We start from the raw sequence: 18,196 nt of genomic DNA on the forward strand, positions 1-18,196 counted from the left end.
GATAGTATTCATCCTCTCAACTCATAACCATCTCTTTATAGGTCATAATCACCCTTTTGCCCCCCAAAAACCACCTCATCCTGAAATGCCCTAAGGAAGGTATTTTACTGGTTGTATCTATAGGCTTATAATGGGCTTGGGAATATGGTTTACTGCAGAGGTCCCCAACTTTTTCAGCACCAGGAACCAGTTTCCTGGGACACAATTTTTCCAAGGACCAGGAAAGGGATGATTTTGGGATGATTCAAGCACATTAAATTTATTGTGCATTTTATTCCTATTATTATTACATTGTAAATTATAATGAAATAATTACACAGCTCATCATAATGTAGAATCAGTGGGAGCCCTGAGCTTGTTTTCCTGCAACTAGACAATTCTGTCTGAGGGTAATGGGAGACAGTGACTGATCATCAGGCATTAGATTCTCATAAGGTGCCTGCAACCTAGATCCCTCGCAGGTACAGTTCACAATAGGATTCGCACTCCTTTGAGAATCTAATGCCAGGGAGCTCAGGTGATAATACAACTGATAGGGAGCAGCTGTAAATACTACGTAAGTTATCAGTAAGGCTTCCAGTCAACAGTAGGCTATTAGTAGTTACATTTTTGGGGAAGTTGAAAGTTACAGATGGATTTTTGACTGCACAGAGGGCCATCACCCCTCACCCCGAATTGCTCAAGAGCCAACCGTACTCAGTCTCAGGTATTTTGTTATAGCAGCACAAATGAACTACAAGAAGCTCTTTCTTTTCTGAGTACTTTTTACATAGATCATTTCATTGAATACTTACAATAGCCCCATGTAAGGACTTATGTACCATTATACAACTTTATAGGTGAGGAAACTGATCCACAGAGCAGCTAGGTAACGTTTCCTGAGTCATGCAGCTAAAAGGTGTCAGAGTCTGGGTTCATAACTACACTCTTGAGTACTATACAACATTGCCTCTTAAACAACACATAGCCTCTGCTCACCCTTTCTACCCCATTTTTGTCATTTCTAGCTTGCAAATTAAGTTCTAACTATACTAAGTCACTTACATTCCCCAATATCTATCCTGTTTCTCCTTGCTTCCTCTTCCTGAAATGCCCTTCTTCCGGCCTCTTCACCTGCATAATTCCTATTTCTCTTGCAGGCCTCAGCTCAGATAGTGTCTCCTCCTGGCAACGAGTCTTCCTTGCTATCACTCATCCCCAAAACAAAGCCCAGGATGACTCTGCCTTTTATGCATGCCCATGGCCCCTGTGCTTACTCCTCCTCACCCTTATCACACTGTGTAAGTTTGCCCTTTATTTATTTTTATGTTGCCGGGGACAGTGAGATGCCTGAGTGCAAGACTTCCATCAGGATGAGCTTGTGTTCCATGTGCCCAGCATCATGGCAGGCACATAGGAAAGTAAACAGAGATGAAGCAGGAGACCTGGAACTTATAGATGCTGTCCCCCATACTTAACTTCTAAAAGGATGTAAGTTGCTGAGTACAAGGACATTTGTCAATTTTATTCACTGATGTACCCCCAAGAACCTAGAATTGTGCCTGGCACGTGGAGAGTACTCAGTAACATTTGTTGAATGACATAAAATAAAATTTATCTGTATTTTTTAACAATGTCATTTAGTTGGAAATGTTATATTGAAAAGCATTTTTCTTTTTCTTTTTATTATTATTATACTTTAAGTTTTAGGGTACATGTGCACAATGTGCAGGTTTGTTACATATGTACTTTTCTTTGGGAGGCCGAGGCGGGCGGATCACGAGGTCAGGAGATCGAGACCATCCTGGCTAACATGGTGAAACCCCGTCTCTACTAAAAATTCAAAAAAATTAGTTGAGTATGGTGGTGGACACCTGCAGTCCCAGCTACTCGGGAGGCTGAGGCAGGAGAATGGTGTGAACCCGGGAGGCGGAGCTTGCAGTGAGCCAAGATCACGCCACTCCACTCCAGCCTGGGTGACAGAGCAAGACTCCGTCTCAAAAAGAAAAAAAAAAAAAAAAAAAAAAGAAAGAAAAAAGAAAAAAAGAAAAAAAAGAAAATCATTTTTGTGTTACTCTAAAGTTTTCTAATACCCAACCTCTTATTGGGTATATATTTAAATGTTAATTAGTTATTGACTTTATTTTTTTCTGTGGTTTACAAAGATGCATGCATGTTGACAGATTTTGCAAAATATATATTATTGTACATGTTTGAAGAATTTCCAAAAGGATGTTATTTATAATTTTTATTCAAAATAATACATGTCAAGAGGAAAAATTATGACAATAAAAACTAACGATAATCATCTTGCCAGGGTAATCACCAATTTTAACATTTGGGTATCCTTCAAGTTCTTACATTATTTTTGCCTTATCTCCCAGTCTATTAATAAACATGATATATGTGTAATATGTGTGGTATATATACCAAATATTTATGTACGGATTGAAAGAAAAAATATGCATGTGCATATATATGTATGATATACATATACTATATATGGTTTTCTAAGTGTATTATACATACTGTCTTCTAATTTCCTTTATTCACTTAACAATTTATTATGAATGTATTTCTCTGCCAGTAAATATTTCTCCACAGTGTCATTTAACCTAGTTTATGGATTTATCCTCTGTCAGACAGTAAGCAGCATGACTTATCTGATTCAATGATTTATACCATGTGAGATCTAGTATAGTAGCCATCAACAAATACCTGTTGAATGGATGAGTATTGTATTTAAGTCCCTAAGTGCATCTTTGGTGATTTCCACTGGAAACATTTTATTTTCAGGGCTAATGTCTCAGTGAAGCATCATTTACCTCAGAGGGGTGGACAGCAACCGGAGCAACCTTGGCCCATAGGAGGAGGAGAATGACAAGCAAACTGGAGGCAGGAGCCATTTCTGAGCCTCATGAGGCACTGGAATCTGGAAGCACAACTCTGGAACTCCATTAGTATCCTATTCTTGCTGCTCTAAGTGCCCGGCTTTATTCTGACCTCTCACTGAGAAGAGTTTTCTCTGCTCTGTGGACAAACAGAGCTATCACAGAACAGACCTCTCACGTCACGCATTTTTCTTCAAGCAATGAACAGAGTATAGCTAGCACGTTTAAGTCTCATCTCCATCCTCATAGAGAGAAGAGAGAATCTGATCTGCTCACTTGAGTCAGGGGTCCACATTGGGTTCAGTCTGCTTGTAGCAGGGAGACAGAACAAATAGGGACAACTCTTCAGTGAGAAAGGCAAGTGTCAGAGAAGGGGGATCATGAGCCAGTATTGTTAGAGGCAATTCAATAGATTAACCCCAGGTGTATGTCTTGGAGAGAAGTAGAAATGAATAGGAGTATAGATACTACTAGAATTGAGGCACACAACGATTTTTCCCCTAGCATTTCCAGCAATCATTTGTCTGATGGTTCTGTATCTCCAAGGACCTACCCTCTGCAGAACCGTGAAACAAGTCAGGTTTGTCATCTGTGCTGTGCCAGCTCAGCTCTCCTTCACAATAAATGCTTCCATTCCATGAATTATTCAGATTCAGAATTTCAGCTTCAGGTGCTTGGGAGATGGCTGGTCTCAGAGCTGGTGGTACAGCTACATTGTACCATAAAACTTATTCATATTAAAACTTATTTATATGTACCTCAAAAGATTAAACTGGGAGATAAGGTGTGGCATTTTTCCCCCTATTGTGACCCAAGGGACAAGTTTTTAAATTTTTATTTTTATTTCAATAGTGTTTGGGGTACAGGTGGTTTTTGGTTACATGGATAAGTTCTTTGGTGGTGATTTCTCCCTGCTGTGCAGAAGCCCAGACCCGTCCCCATCCCCTGGAAGCCCCCCACCAATGCTCATGAAACAATGCTCTGTTCCTTCAGCATACTGTTCACTTTCTGCAAACCTAATGAACAAAGTCTATACTAAGTTAGCAACTGTGGACTTATTTTTATATACTCCTCTCATTTCAGAGGGGATTAAGGGCAGCTTATGGGGATACCTAAAATAAAGCAAGATAGCTTAAGTAAAAGTAGGAAAGAAAAACAATGAAAGGAACATAAAATGACACCAGGGATAAGGATAATTTTAAACATGTTTCTTTCTACCCATGTGTTTTCTAAGAGTAGGTTATTATTTGTCTCAATGTTTTAATAACAAGAACTAAAAAAAAATGAATCAATTGCGCAATTCATAGTGTTTAGGTAAAAACTGACCTATTGCTTAGAAGTCATTCTTAGAATTAAGACTAAAATGGAATTGCTCTTATGTCCCTAATAAAGATGACACAATTTAATATCATAAAGATTCTTCTTAAAGACAAATTTATTCAGGCCATGGTATGGCTGATAATATCACACCGAGAGCTAAAGCAAGGGGCCAGCCTGCAAGGCACTTTCCTGGAGTGCTAGTTTATAAGAAACATTAAAACATTGTCTTTGGATCCTCCCCCTCCCCCTCCCCCTCCCCCTCCCCCTCCCCCTCCCCCTCCCCCTCTCCCTCCCCCTCTCCCTCTCCCTCTCCCCACGGTCTCCCTCTCATGCGGAGCCGAAGCTGGACTGTACTGCTGCCATCTCGGCTCACTGCAACCTCCCTGCCTGATTCTCCTGCCTCAGTCTGCCGAATGCCTGCGATTGCAGGCACGCGCCGCCACGCCTGACTGGTTTTGGTGGAGACGGGGTTTCGCTGTGTTGGCCGGGCCGGTCTCCAGCCCCTAACCGCGAGTGATCCGCCAACCTCGGCCTCCCGAGGTGCCGGGATTGCAGACGGAGTCTCGTTCACTCAGTGCTCAATGGTGCCCAGGCTGGAGTGCAGTGGCGTGATCTCGGCTCACTACAACTTACACCTCCCAGCCGCCTGCCTTGGCCTCCCAAAGTGCCGAGATTGCAGCCTCTGCCCGGCCGCCACCCCGTCTGGGAAGTGAGGAGTGTCTCTGCCTGGCCGCCCATCGTCTGGGATGTGAGGAGCCCCTCTGCCTGGCTGCCCAGTCTGGAAAGTGAGGAGCGTCTCTGCCCGGCCGCCATCCCATCTAGGAAGTGAGGCGCGCCTCTTCCCAGCCGCCATCACATCTAGGAAGTGAAGAGCGTCTCTGCCCGGCCGCCCATCGTCTGAGATGTGGGGAGCGCCTCTGCCCCGCCGCCCCATCTGGGATGTGAGGAGCGCCTCTGCCTGGCCGAGACCCCGTCTGGGAGGTGAGGAGCGTCTCTGCCCGGCCGCCCCGTCTGAGAAGTGAGGAGACCCTCTGCCTGGCAACCACCCCGTCTGAGAAGTGAGGAGCCCCTCCGCCCGGCAGCTGCCCCGTCTGAGAAGTGAGGAGCCTCTCCGCCCGGCAGCCACCCCATCTGGGAAGTGAGGAGCGTCTCCGCCCGGCAGCCACCCCGTCCGGGAGGGAGGTGGGGGGGGGTCAGCCCCCGGCCCGGCCAGCCGCCCCATCCGGGAGGGAGGTGGGGGGTCAGCCCCCCCGCCCGGCCAGCCGTGCCGTCCGGGAGGGAGGTGGGGGGGTCAGCCCCCCGCCCGGCCAGCCGCCCCGTCCAGGAGGTGAGGGGCGCCTCTGCCCGGCCGCCCCTACTAGGAAGTGAGGAGCCCCTCAGCCCGGCCAGCCACCCTATCCGGGAGGGAGATGGGGGGGTCAGCCCCCCCACCCGGCCAGCCGCCCCGTCCGGGAGGGAGGTGGGGGGGTCAGCCCCCCGCCTGGCCAGCCGCCCCGTCCGGGAGGGAGGTGGGGGGGTCAGCCCTCCGCCCGGCCAGCCGCCCCGTCTGGGAGGTGAGGGGCGCCTCTGCCCGGCCGCCCCTACTGGGAAGTGAGGAGCCCCTCTGCCCGGCCAGCCGCCCCGTCCGGGAGGGAGGTGGGGGGGTCGGCCCCCCGCCCGGCCAGCCGCCCCATCCGGGAGGGAGGTGGGGGGGTCAGCCCCCCGCCCGGCCAGCCGCCCCGTCCGGGAGGGAGGTGGGGGGAGGTCAGCCCCCCTGCCCGGCCAGCCGCCCCGTCCGGGAGGTGAGGGGCGCCTCTGCCCGGCCGCCCCTACTGGGAAGTGAGGAGCCCCTCTGCCCGGCCAGCCGCCCCGTCCTGGAGGGAGGTGGGGGGGGTCAGCCCCCCTGCCCGGCCAGCCGCCCCGTCCGGGAGGTGAGGGGCGCCTCTGCCCGGCCGCCCCTACTGGGAAGTGAGGAGCCCCTCTGCCCGGCCACCACCCCGTCTGGGAGGTGTGCCCAACAGCTCATTGAGAACGGGCCAGGATGACAATGGCGGCTTTGTGGAATAGAAAGGCGGGAAAGGTGGGGAAAAGATTGAGAAATCGGATGGTTGCCGTGTCTGTGTAGAAAGAAGTAGACATGGGAGACTTTTCATTTTGTTCTGCACTAAGAAAAATTCCTCTGCCTTGGGATCCTGTTGATCTGTGACCTTACCCCCAACCCTGTGCTCTCTGAAACATGTGCTGTGTCCACTCAGGGTTAAATGGATTAAGGGCGGTGCAAGATGTGCTTTGTTAAACAGATGCTTGAAGGCAGCATGCTCGTTAAGAGTCATCACCAATCCCTAATCTCAAGTAATCAGGGACACAAACACTGCGGAAGGCCGCAGGGTCCTCTGCCTAGGAAAACCAGAGACCTTTGTTCACTTGTTTATCTGCTGACCTTCCCTCCACTATTGTCCCATGACCCTGCCAAATCCCCCTCTGTGAGAAACACCCAAGAATTATCAATAAAAAAATAAATTAAAAAAAAAAAAAAAAACATTGTCTTTGATGAATTAGAAATTCAGTACCAGTTGACTCAGAATTTTATATGTGACTTCATACATATCTAGTAAAACAGAAATTGATCTTACCAAATGAGAATCTGCTGAAGAAATTGTCCCCTTGGGGACTCAGGAGGGAAGATGGGGAGGTGGATGAGGGATGAAAGACTACATATTGGGTACAATGTACACTGCTTGAGTGATGGGTACACTAAAATCTCAGAAATCACCACCAAAGAACTTACCCATGTAACCGAAAACCACCTGTACCCCAAACACTATTGAAATAAAAATAAAAATAAATTGTTTCCTTAGGTCACAGTAGAGGGAAAAATGCCACACCTTATCTCCTAGTTCAATCTTTTGAAGTACATATAAATAAGTTTTATGGTACAATGTAGCTGTACTACCAGCTCTGAGACAAGCCATTTCCCAGGCACCTGAAACTGAAATTCTGAGTCTGAGTAATTCATGGGATTGAAGCATTTACTGTGAAAAAGAGATTTATTTTATTCCCATTTTACATAACTCTACATGCCTCCCAAGAAGTTGTCTAGTTCCAGTAACTGCATGTTGTAAAGTTCCTATTTAAAACATAAAGTCAGTAGTGTTTTATTTCCAATATTGGAAAACCATTTTTCACTGTCTCCACTAAATAATTATTGAAAAAGTACTTTAAACACATTAGTCTGATGGGTGCTTCATTATTATCTTATCTAGGGCTTTCACCTTTCTCACTCCAGACCTAATTATACCAAGTCGATTCAATAAAAGCAGCTCTACTGGAATATTGATTGATGACTTAATGTTGTTGCTTCTCTCAGAACACTCTACACCAGCTGAAAGATGAGCGATTCCTATTGTGTGGTTAAATGCCCCCATATCTATTTAGCTACCAGTCCTGGAATCCAGGTAGAATGTAACCTGACCATGATCAAATATTACCAACCAAATGGGAACCTGCTATAGAAAATTATTAGCAGCTTGAATGGAGCCCAAACAGGAATAGAGACAAAACAGATAAAAGAGTAATGCAAAGAGAGCCTGGAATACTGTTTCTAGTGACTCTACATTTGGCTGTGTAGTTGGGGTCAGCATGGAATGCCTCAAGTCTACTAGCAGAAATCAGTCAACATTCATCAGCCCTTTATTCTTTACAGACTTCACAAATGCCATATAAGGAAGAGTGCTTATCATCCTGGAAGGTGTTCTGACTTCTTTGAAGAAAGATCAGATTGTTACATTTCAAAATTCACGGTGATACAATAAAACTATGGCCCACAGAGAACCTAGAAGTTCAGAAATCGAGTTTCATGTCCTCACTAATAACATTTTGATGACAGAAAAGTATTTCTGAAATAGAAGTAACTTCCCAAAATTTTCAAGAAAATGTAGGCAACTTGTTTCTAGTTTGTACACAAAAGAGTATAAATAAATATGTATATATTTCAAAGTATCAGACCAAAATACCTGATCTTCATCCCTGGAAGAATTTGAGGGCTCCTAAAATCTTTCAAAAAGTACTACCACTCTCTGGAGAATTGCTACCTGCAATAACATGCCCTATGTTTTCACGTACCAAATGCTGAGAAGAAAAACAAAAACATATGTGGCTGGGATTTCTTTTTTTAAGAAAAGAAAACCATATTTAAGGTTTCCTGTCCAGATGCATCAGTGAGACGCATCTTGCTTGTCTGCCTCTATCACATCCGGCCATGGTGCACAATTTTATGTCAACTGACAGATTCCTACCACGAGAGGAAGAAAGAAAAGCTCCCGAATTGGGAGTTAATTTATGCCACAAAATATATAAAGGTAGATTTAGGATGGTGACATTTTCCCCCATTTGAGTCTTATAATTTAATTTAATTTAAAATCCATCACAGTTCTTGTTTGGATAACAGGAAGCAATAAATGTGGCACTTTGGGCCCAAACTTGAGTGCTATTTTTGTCCCTGTCTCAGAGCCATTTAAGCAAATTTAAAAAGTCTGTTCTATTCCCTCTCTAAATTCTCTGAATAGACTGGTAACTAAGATTGTCCCTACAGGGTGCTTATGTTTCTAGGCTGTGAAAGTTAATGGTGGGAAATGACACAGCTCAGTATTTTAATCCTGGGCTTTGCAGTCAGACAGACCTGAGTTGGCCTCTGCTTACTGCTGTGTGACCCTGCACGAGATAGTGAATCTCACTAAATGTTGGATCTTCAACTGTAAAATAGGTTAATAATAGTACTGATCTCCAAGGTGGTGGTAAAAGTTGTATGAGACAAAGCACATAAAATGTTTAAATGGCACTAAGAACACTAAGTATTCACTATATGTTAGTTTAAAAATATGAAGTTACCAATAGAAGACTTTTCTCCCAGTAAAGAAGGACTAGATAATTTGTACCACCCCCCTAGTGATACTAACTAGGATAATTGGACAAAATATATTTTAAAAATTTCTTGAATACATTAGAAAGCTAATAACATGGTGAAAAACTATGGGAGTAATACCTGGAAGAAGAAGCAACTCCAGAGAGCTGAGACTTGCTTTGAGGGCCTTTTTTCTCCTAGCAGTTTCTTCCAATTCTGGAAGAAGTAGCTGAGAAACTGAGTAGAGCTTTTGTCAGCCTTATGGGGCAAAGGGGGACAAAAGCTGGAGTTCAAGGGCTTCCAAAGAGGGAGGTTTTGGATTAGAAACTAGGAGTAAGAGTCAACTTGAACTAGCCCTTGTAGTGATGAAAGCCCAGTTTCAAATCATCTCAATTACGAGTCTGTATTAGGTGAACTGGCATTGCTAAGGACCTTAGCTGCCTGCGACAAGGTACATACTCTTTGGGGGAATAAAGCATCACACTGGGCTTCACATTATGCCTATAGATTTTCATGTACAATCTCTGGTGCTTAATTAAAAATAACTAGACCTTCCTTCTTTCTTGGATAATTTAGTTCATAATCTATTACATGGGGCCTAGCAAGGTAGCTGCCTTTGAGGATAGCAGGGCATTGGTAGAGACTGAACAGGATGAGGAAGCAATCTGTGAAGCAAGGGAGATTATGAAGATGATAGGAGATTGTTACATACAAAAAGAATTTATCCAGTAAGTAAACATTGAGAATAATAGGAGTCAGGTTTCTCCTATCATAGAAGAGAGCTACAAATATAGAAAGAAAGAAAACTGGAATAAACCCTGTGGTACTGGGTTAGAATTCAGGGTTTCAGTAAGAACCTATGTTTTGCAGCGTATAGAGATTGATATAAACATAGATGTAAATTTGAATACACATACAGACATACACACACACACACACACACACACACACACACACACACACACACATATCCCCTAGCTCTATCCAATGGGAAGGCCTAAGAACAAAACACTCTAAGAGTATTGACACACCTAGCACTCAGGCCTTGTTTTCTAAATTCCATTCTCCACCAAAAGGTAGCAGAGATCCTTGGAAAAATGATTAATTCCATGTTTATTCAGAGAAAGTACAAGCGAGCCAGGAATGTCCTGTTGGTCATAAGGTAAGGAAGTGCTCAAATATTGATGGAACATGTTTAAAAAACAAGAAATGTATTAGTTTACTATTGCTACGTAACAAATTACCACAAATTTAGATGCTTAAAACAATTTATGTTTATTATCTTACGGTTTCTGTGGGACGGGAGACCAGGGTTAACTGATCTGGGTCTTCTGTTCGGGGTCTTACAAGGCTGCAATCAAGGTTATCATCTAGGCTGTGTTCTCATCTGGAAGCTTGACTAGGGAAAGAACCACTTCCAAGCTCCCACAGGTTGTTGGAAGAATTAATTTCTTTGCAGTTGCTGGACTGAGCCTTTAGTTTCATGCTGGTGGCCACTTTTAGTCCCTAGAGGCTACCCATGGTTCCTTTCTATGCAGAGCATTTACTTCTTGGTAGGCTACTTCTTTAAGGCCAGGAGCAGCACAGGAAGAGTCTGCTTGAAGCCAGCACACAAACTTGTCACCAAAACCTGACAGTGACGTTGCAAGAAAAAAAGTACAGTCCAATCTCACTCTTGACATTAAGACAAAAATCCTAAACAGAATACTGGCAAACAGAATCCAATAGTCTATAAAAAGGATCATACATTTTGACCAAATTTGATTTATAGAATTGCAAGATTGATTTAACATTCAAAATCTAAGTAATTTACCACATTAATAGAACAAAAGGCAAAAAAATGCATATGATTATCTTTATAATTCATATTTAAAATTTTGATAAAATTTAATATTCATTCATGATAAATACTGTTAGAAGCTAGAAATAGAAACTTTCTTAATTTGATAAAAGGTTGTTTACCAAAAAACCTATTGCAAACATTACACTTAATGGTGAAATGGTGGTGGTGTTTCCTCTAACACTGAGAATTTAAATATAGTCTCAACTACTGCTATTAAATATTATATATGAAACATTATATAAATGAAACCTTATAAATTTAGACATTCACTATCAAATGAAAAATTTTGAAATAATTCTCTATCTCTTCCAGTCATCTTTCTCCCTTCTTCAACGTGAATTCATGGGATGCCACCAACATCCTCATGCTATAATGTCCCATGAAGTTTTTAGGTTTTTCCCCAAACCTGTTATCTCTGTTGTAATTAGTCAGATCTCCCAGGTGACACCAATGGTTCAGTTCAACAACCATATATATTGACTATCTACTGTATTCTAAGAATCTTGCTTCAGCCACACTGAGAAAGGTTGTGTCCTATTCAACAGCACAGATATTAGGCTTTCTTCCATAGGAATTTCCTGGTGACTACATTGCTAAAGCTTATTTTGGGATTTTGCCTCACTTTATGGTGAACTCTAGAGTGACTGTTTTCACTTAAGAATTCAAACAAATTGGAACAGTGTTGTATTCTATATGTATGCATTTTGACTTTCATCTCTCACAAAGGGGTTGGAGGAGTAGGGTCAATGGGAAACATGAGAAACAAAAGGGAAATAGCGTGACTTTTGTACAGTTTATTCATGAAAGCATAATTGAAACCAAAATAATGAATGCATCAGCTTATACAAATGAGGCATCTGTCATTATAGCATAGCATATGTATAATAAGGCATAAAGAAGTAGCTGCATAATTTAATGGGATTAGAGCTAATTGAACTGGATGCCTCTTCACATAAATAACCTCCTTGTATGGCATAAAAATACTTCTGGAAGTTTCTAGATGCTGTAAGTAATGAATGTGAAAAGGAAACAGGCAAACATATGTTTGATTTCTTCAGGAAAATATCTTAGCATAATTAAAATTATATAACTTTGCAAGCACTGAATAATGTATGCCAGTGACTAGACCATTTGTATAACTTGATATAGACTATGAATTTCTGTAAGAAGTTATGAAACAAGTTTGTAAATATCCATATATAGCAAGTACAAGTGGTCAGATTAAAATTTTTGATGTAAAGCTACAGGAGGCTAATGGTCCCCAACAACATACATTAAATAGTAAAATGCCACCACAGACTGCTACAAGCCTGATGGCAGAAATGGTTTTTCCATTTCATTTCCTGATCTAACAATCCTGAGTTATATAACATGTTTAAAATGAATGAATTTGTCTCCTTGATGAATTTCCCAGTCTTCAGTTTTAAAGAGGAAATGGAAAAGACTGTGGTTGCTGCATTAAAAAAAAGTTTGTATGTGTAAGCTTCTCACATGCCTCATCTTTATTCAATCCAAAATAAACTTTGACCCTCTGATACTGTAGGTGGCTCCTTGGGGAAGGACTTCTGCACCAAACCAGAACATAATTGCAACATGTAAATGAATGCTCTTAGGCCCTTTCAAAACCATAGTATCGCCACCCCTTCTGCACAGTGCAGGTCAAATATCCCTATCTGAAAATACAAAATTCTTCCAATTCGTTTGCATCTCTTAATTAGGAAAAACTATACAAAATAATATATCCAGACCCTATTCGTAAGTAATCAGTAGTTGCTTTTTTAAAGGCTTCCAGCTTTTTCATATTTGAATTCTATAATCCAAAAATAATTTCAGAGGAATATTAATTTGGATTTTTTTCCCGTTTAGCTTTGTCTCACTTTATCTTCCTTTAGCATATGTGTATGAGGCTCATTAAGCTATAAATTTCATGGATGTCTATGAGTTATGTTCAATGTCAATTACCAGTACCATTGTTTAGAGTACTGTATTTCACTCCCAGAACATATCCTGGGAGATCTTGAACCACACCAAGGTCAAACTCCTAAACTCTCTTTAAATCACAGTTGCCAGCTTAGTAGCCTCTACCTCAGCATCCACTTCTCTAGGAAGGTACCCATTTTCTTTTGCAAGAAAATATCTAAACATGTCATTGTGCTAAGACACCATGAGACTACAGGGCCTTTAAAAGGAAATTAGTCTGATTAAATAAATCTATTGCTAATTTTCTTTTTCTTTCCTCATCTCCACCTTCCTCTTCTTTCCTGAATTCCTGAAAAGCAATGCCATCTAGGAAAATGCCCTTTCAAAGTGAAAGGACCCAAGACTTGACTTCTATGGTTGGTGCAAAAATAATTTTGGTTTCTGCCATTAAAAGTAATGACAAAGTAACTTTTAATGGCAAAAACCTCAATTACTTTTGCACCAACCTAACAGTTTTCTCAAGAAGTCTCAGGACATCCCAAACTAGCCAGAGTTGCTTAATATTTGATTTTGTTTGTTTTAGTATAATTACAATTATAATTATGATAGCAATAATTATAGCTAATATTTGTTGGGCATTTACTATATATGAAATAGATACTAATATTATTCCCATTTGACAGGTGAAGAAATGGAAGTTTAGTAAATTCAGCAACTTGCCCAAAGTAGCTTAACTACCAAGTTATATCATCTTACATTTTTTCTTCTTTTTTTTTTGCCTTGTTCTCACCTCGTTCTAAAACAAGGATTTTAGGTAGAGACATTATTTTCAGTATATCAGTAGCAAGTTGATTAAACTAGTGTTTTCTCCTATCTGTCCATCATAAAGATATATGAGAATGTTATGAATGGTTTCAGATGACTACTATCAGATTACTGGGTTTGAGTAAATTGTGGCAAGAAAAACAGGAGAAATTGTCAAGACTTCAGCTCTGGTTCCAGCTCTACAACTGCTTTTCTTGTTGCCTGACCATGGCTGCCTGAGCCGTGTGATCTCAGTCTCAGTTTTGTTATCAGTAGAGTGGATGATAGCAGCTGTCCTGACCATACTACAGATGTTGCTAATTATAGGAATATTATAGGAATATTTTACAAACTCTTAAGTGCAACCCAGTGTCTGTCAGATAGGAATGATTACATGTAGGGTCCTAGATACTGGAAAATCCCAGGAGGTCTTGCTTCTACCTTGAAAGGGCTAACAGTTCATTGCAGAGGGTGGAACATGAGGCATATTCTAAGTTACATATGCTCAGGATTCAGTTTATCAAACAGTGTGGGCACAGCCTGGGGACTGGGATTTCCTGTGGTTGAGCTGGCACGCACTGAACCTGATGTCTTGAGGGGCAGTGAGCCCCTGGGGACAGGGATGATGCCTTGTTCATCTTGTGCCCACAGCAACTGGTATGGTACGTCAAACACACTAGAAAAATGAAATCTGATCATGGATCCAGAGGGGAAAATTTTACTTTCTTCCCAAACTTACAAATGTGGAACCTGCTCATTCACTCTCACAGAAATGTTAAACTTGGCGGATTCGCAGAATTTTAAAGATTTGAGATTCTATTCCTGACTACTCTGTTGCCTTTCTCTCTAATTTGGGCCAGCATCATGCCAGAACAAGTCTGATATTTTAGCCTAAGCAAATATCAAAAATAGAAAAAGCAACTGTGGCAACACAGTTCCTAATGAATGTAACAGCAAGGCCGAAAAGGGAGCAGAGTAGTGTTAAGCTGTGGAAGAAAAAGAAAAAGTGATTGTGAGAAATCCTGGGAAACTGTCAAACCCACAGCTTCAATGAGGGCCAGAATTCTCCTTGTGAAAATAATGACAAGTGACACCCGAGCTGCCTTTTTACAGCTTTTTATACAAAAGGCATTTGTACCTCCTGAGCATAAGGGCTGAAAACATAGTCCAGGCAGTGCAAGAGAGGTAGATTAGAAAGTCATGGAAGGCCAATGCGGAGGCAGCTCCAGAGGCAAGAGGGCTCTGTGATACAGTTTAATATAGACTAATTCAGGGTGAGACTGGCTTGGTTTCCTAAAAGAGTTTGTCTCCACTTGACAAAGGCAAATGGGGTTTGAAAACTTCACCCAACCCCATAAGTTCCCTCTGAATGGACCAGGAAGTGTTTCAGAAAAGGTGATCCTGGAACAGTCCAGAACCAAATCAGCCTCTATCCAGCTCATGTTTTCCTTCCAATGGAGCTTGGGTTACTCAGTGGGGTGGAGTGAGGTAAAGGTAGGGCAGGGAGGAGAGGTGGAAAGACTGTCAATGTCTGATAAAGCATTTACCACATGTTTGATATTTGGGTAAACTCTAGAAAATTGTATCCAGGATGAAGAGTTTAGCAGACTCGAAATGTCATGGTGCTCTCTCTGTCAAGCACATGCTCCATGCTCAACATCTCTGAGAAACAGGAAAATTAAAACTGAAAGCAGAGAAACAGAAAATAAACACTGATTCTCTCCTTGGAATCAGCATTTTAAGCCTAGTGATAGCTCTCTATTTCATGCAACATTCGTGCATACTACCTGTTTGAATGTGATCTATATTCATATTTAGAACTATCCCTAAGCTTAAAATCATTTCAACAAGTTCATTTAGTCAATACACAAATATCAACAAGATGATGATTTATACTTTCTTACTCACCAAGGGCCTAAAATACTTTCTCTGACTTGCTCAATACAGAGTTGCCACAAAACTTCAATTTGCAAAAAAAAAAAAAAAATTAATTATTTGTGAAGGGCAACAAAGCAAAATACAATAAAATGAAGTATGCTTTAGAAGTTTTAACTTCTAAAGCTGTCTTAGAACAGCTGATATAATTTGAGTGGACATATGCAAATTCAGCACTACTGTTATGTAAATATCCTCCTCTGGTGTTCCTAACAATTTCATACACAGCTGCTTGTTACTCTTGAGGAAATCCTGGTTAATAACAGTGCTATGAACTGGATGTTTGCTTCTAATCTCCTCAAACTTGAAACATTTACCAGTGCTGAGGGACTTCTGGGCATAGATACTCTTTTCTAAGACCTTAGTGGTCTTTTTTTTCAGACAATCGGGTGAAAAAAAAAGTCTGGCAGTTTCTTTCTCTCCCACCTCTCTAATAACCTCAGAACCATAGTCAACTGGCTGGTATGTGAAGTGTGAATGCTTCTATCAAGGGGAGACATGACCTTGGCAAACAAATTGGAAGGGTAGATTTAAAAAAGAAAAAAGGCAGATACCTTCTGATTTCCACTGTAAGGCTAGCTCAGAAAATAGCAGAGTTGCATCCTTCAGCTTGAGTCCTTGGAAGCAGTAGCAAACATTAAGCCCAAGTGAATGGTCAATAACTCTCCATAAATATCAGTAGAGGCTTTGTTTTAGTCAAAAGCTTTGCACTATCACCACTGAATGGTATATGGCTCTTTTCCACATGATTAAACAAAGAGAGATCAATTGTGGGGAAAAGAGAAGCAGAGAACCCTGCAGAGAGAATGAGATATGTTTCATGCAGCTGTTTGTGTCCACTCCAGTAGAATACCATTAATAGAGAATGAGGGTCTGTCACTGAGGAAATAGTTTTCTTCTTCTTATCTCTAGTGTGGTTGCTGTGATCACTCACATAAGTGCTGTTATGGGTTGAGCTATTTTCCCCACAAGAAAGTTAAGTTGAAGTCCTAACCACTAATACCTCTGAATGTGAGTCTACTGGGAAAATAGGGTCATGGCAGATGTAATTGGTCAAGATGAGGTCATACTGGAGTAGAGTATGCCCTTAGGTTAACGGGACTAGTCCTTCTAAGAAGACATACCCACAGGGAGAATGCCACTTGTAAAGGCAGAGATTGGAATTACATGGCTGCAAACCAAGGAATGCAAAAGATGACAGCAAACTACTAGAAGCAAGGAAGAGGCAAAGAAGGATTCCCCTGTGGGTTTCAGAGGGAGCATGGACCTGCCAACAACTTGATTTTGGAATCTTAGCCTTCGGAAAGGTGAGACTTTACATTTCTGTTGTTTTAAACCACGCAGTTTGTGGTACTTTGTTACAGTACCTCTAGAAAACGAACACAACTGTTTTTAGGTTCAGAGGCAGTGCATTCAGCCTATCAGTATTGTGGTTTCTCGAGGCGAGAGGTCTCATTTTAAAGGCATATGCCCAATATGTATTGTGCTAGGATAGAAGCCCAGAAGTGTCAGCTTCCTAATGGACAAGGGTTATACTGAGCTGGGTCATCCCTGGGATTCAGCTTCCAAGGTCCTCAGGAAAACACAGTTCCCTTATGAGTTAGCCCCACTATTATTTTTACCAAATCCCTACATATCACAGTTGAAATAATAAAACTATCTAGCATACCTACCAGATGTTTTTATTTCAATTTGTAACATCTAACCTTTGAGCTATAAGTAACCAGCTCTACAGAAATCTAGGCAGCCCCACCCCAGCTTTTCAGTTTGTATTGCATGTGTGTGTTTATGATCATATGAGACTTTACTAAAAATTTCAAGGAGAAGGAATTTATACTATAGAAATATTATCTTAACAGGAATAATAGGGACACCAAGACATTTCACTGGCCTTCCCTGTGTTAGTCACTCTGAGGTACTAAAGCAACCTGGAAAACCCTCTGTTTTCCAAGACCCCAAGAAGAGACGTAAGGTATTTGGGGCCAATGCAGGCCTCAGATAAGTGGAGAAAAATATGCTATTCCTCTTTTTCTTAGGCCAATGTCAATTCAAGTTGCAGGACCTTATATTAGCAGAGCATAATGCTGTCCTTGTTTTCCTTAATCTCCCTTTTTTTTTTTTCTTTTTGAGACAGAGTCTCGCTCTGTCACCCAGGCTGGAGTGCAGTGGTGCGATGTCGGCTCACTGCAACCTCTGCCCCTGTGAACACCCCTGCCCCAGATTCATGCAACTCTCTTATCTCAGCCTCCATAGTAGATGGGATTACAGGTGTGCACCACCATGCCTGGCTAATTTTTGTATTTTTAAGTAGAGATGGGGTTTTACCCTGTTGGCCAGGCTGGTCTCAAACTCTTGACCTCAAATGATCCACCCACCTCAGCCTCCCAGAGTATTGGGATTACAGGTGTAAGCCACTGCACCCGGCCTCCTTAATGTCTTTAAACTCTGAGATCCTGACAGCAAGTTTTGTTTTATTTTTACCATTTCATCCAGCTTTGATTTAAGTTCACACTTCAGCAAATTCAAATGCTGGGCCAGCTGGTTCCTCTAATCTGCAATGTTTCTAAGTCTAAAACTGCCAACAATATTCTTTGGAGTTTTCTGGCTCCTTAGCTAAAATCATTT

At 41.8% G+C, this 18,196-nt stretch overlaps 1 annotated feature.

Moving 5' to 3' along the window:
• Positions 17,463 to 17,632: an enhancer, noted in NCBI's record as "experimental_9445 CRE fragment used in MPRA reporter constructs". NCBI's record gives its function as "activates a minimal promoter by MPRAs in K562 erythroleukemia cells, with activity observed for the non-introgressed 1:86693867 variant allele {active_cell/tissue: K562}" and the evidence as "EXISTENCE:reporter gene assay evidence [ECO:0000049][PMID:34662402]".

This window comes from Homo sapiens, chromosome 1 (assembly GCF_000001405.40).
Source record: "Homo sapiens chromosome 1, GRCh38.p14 Primary Assembly".
NCBI lineage: Eukaryota > Metazoa > Chordata > Mammalia > Primates > Hominidae > Homo > Homo sapiens.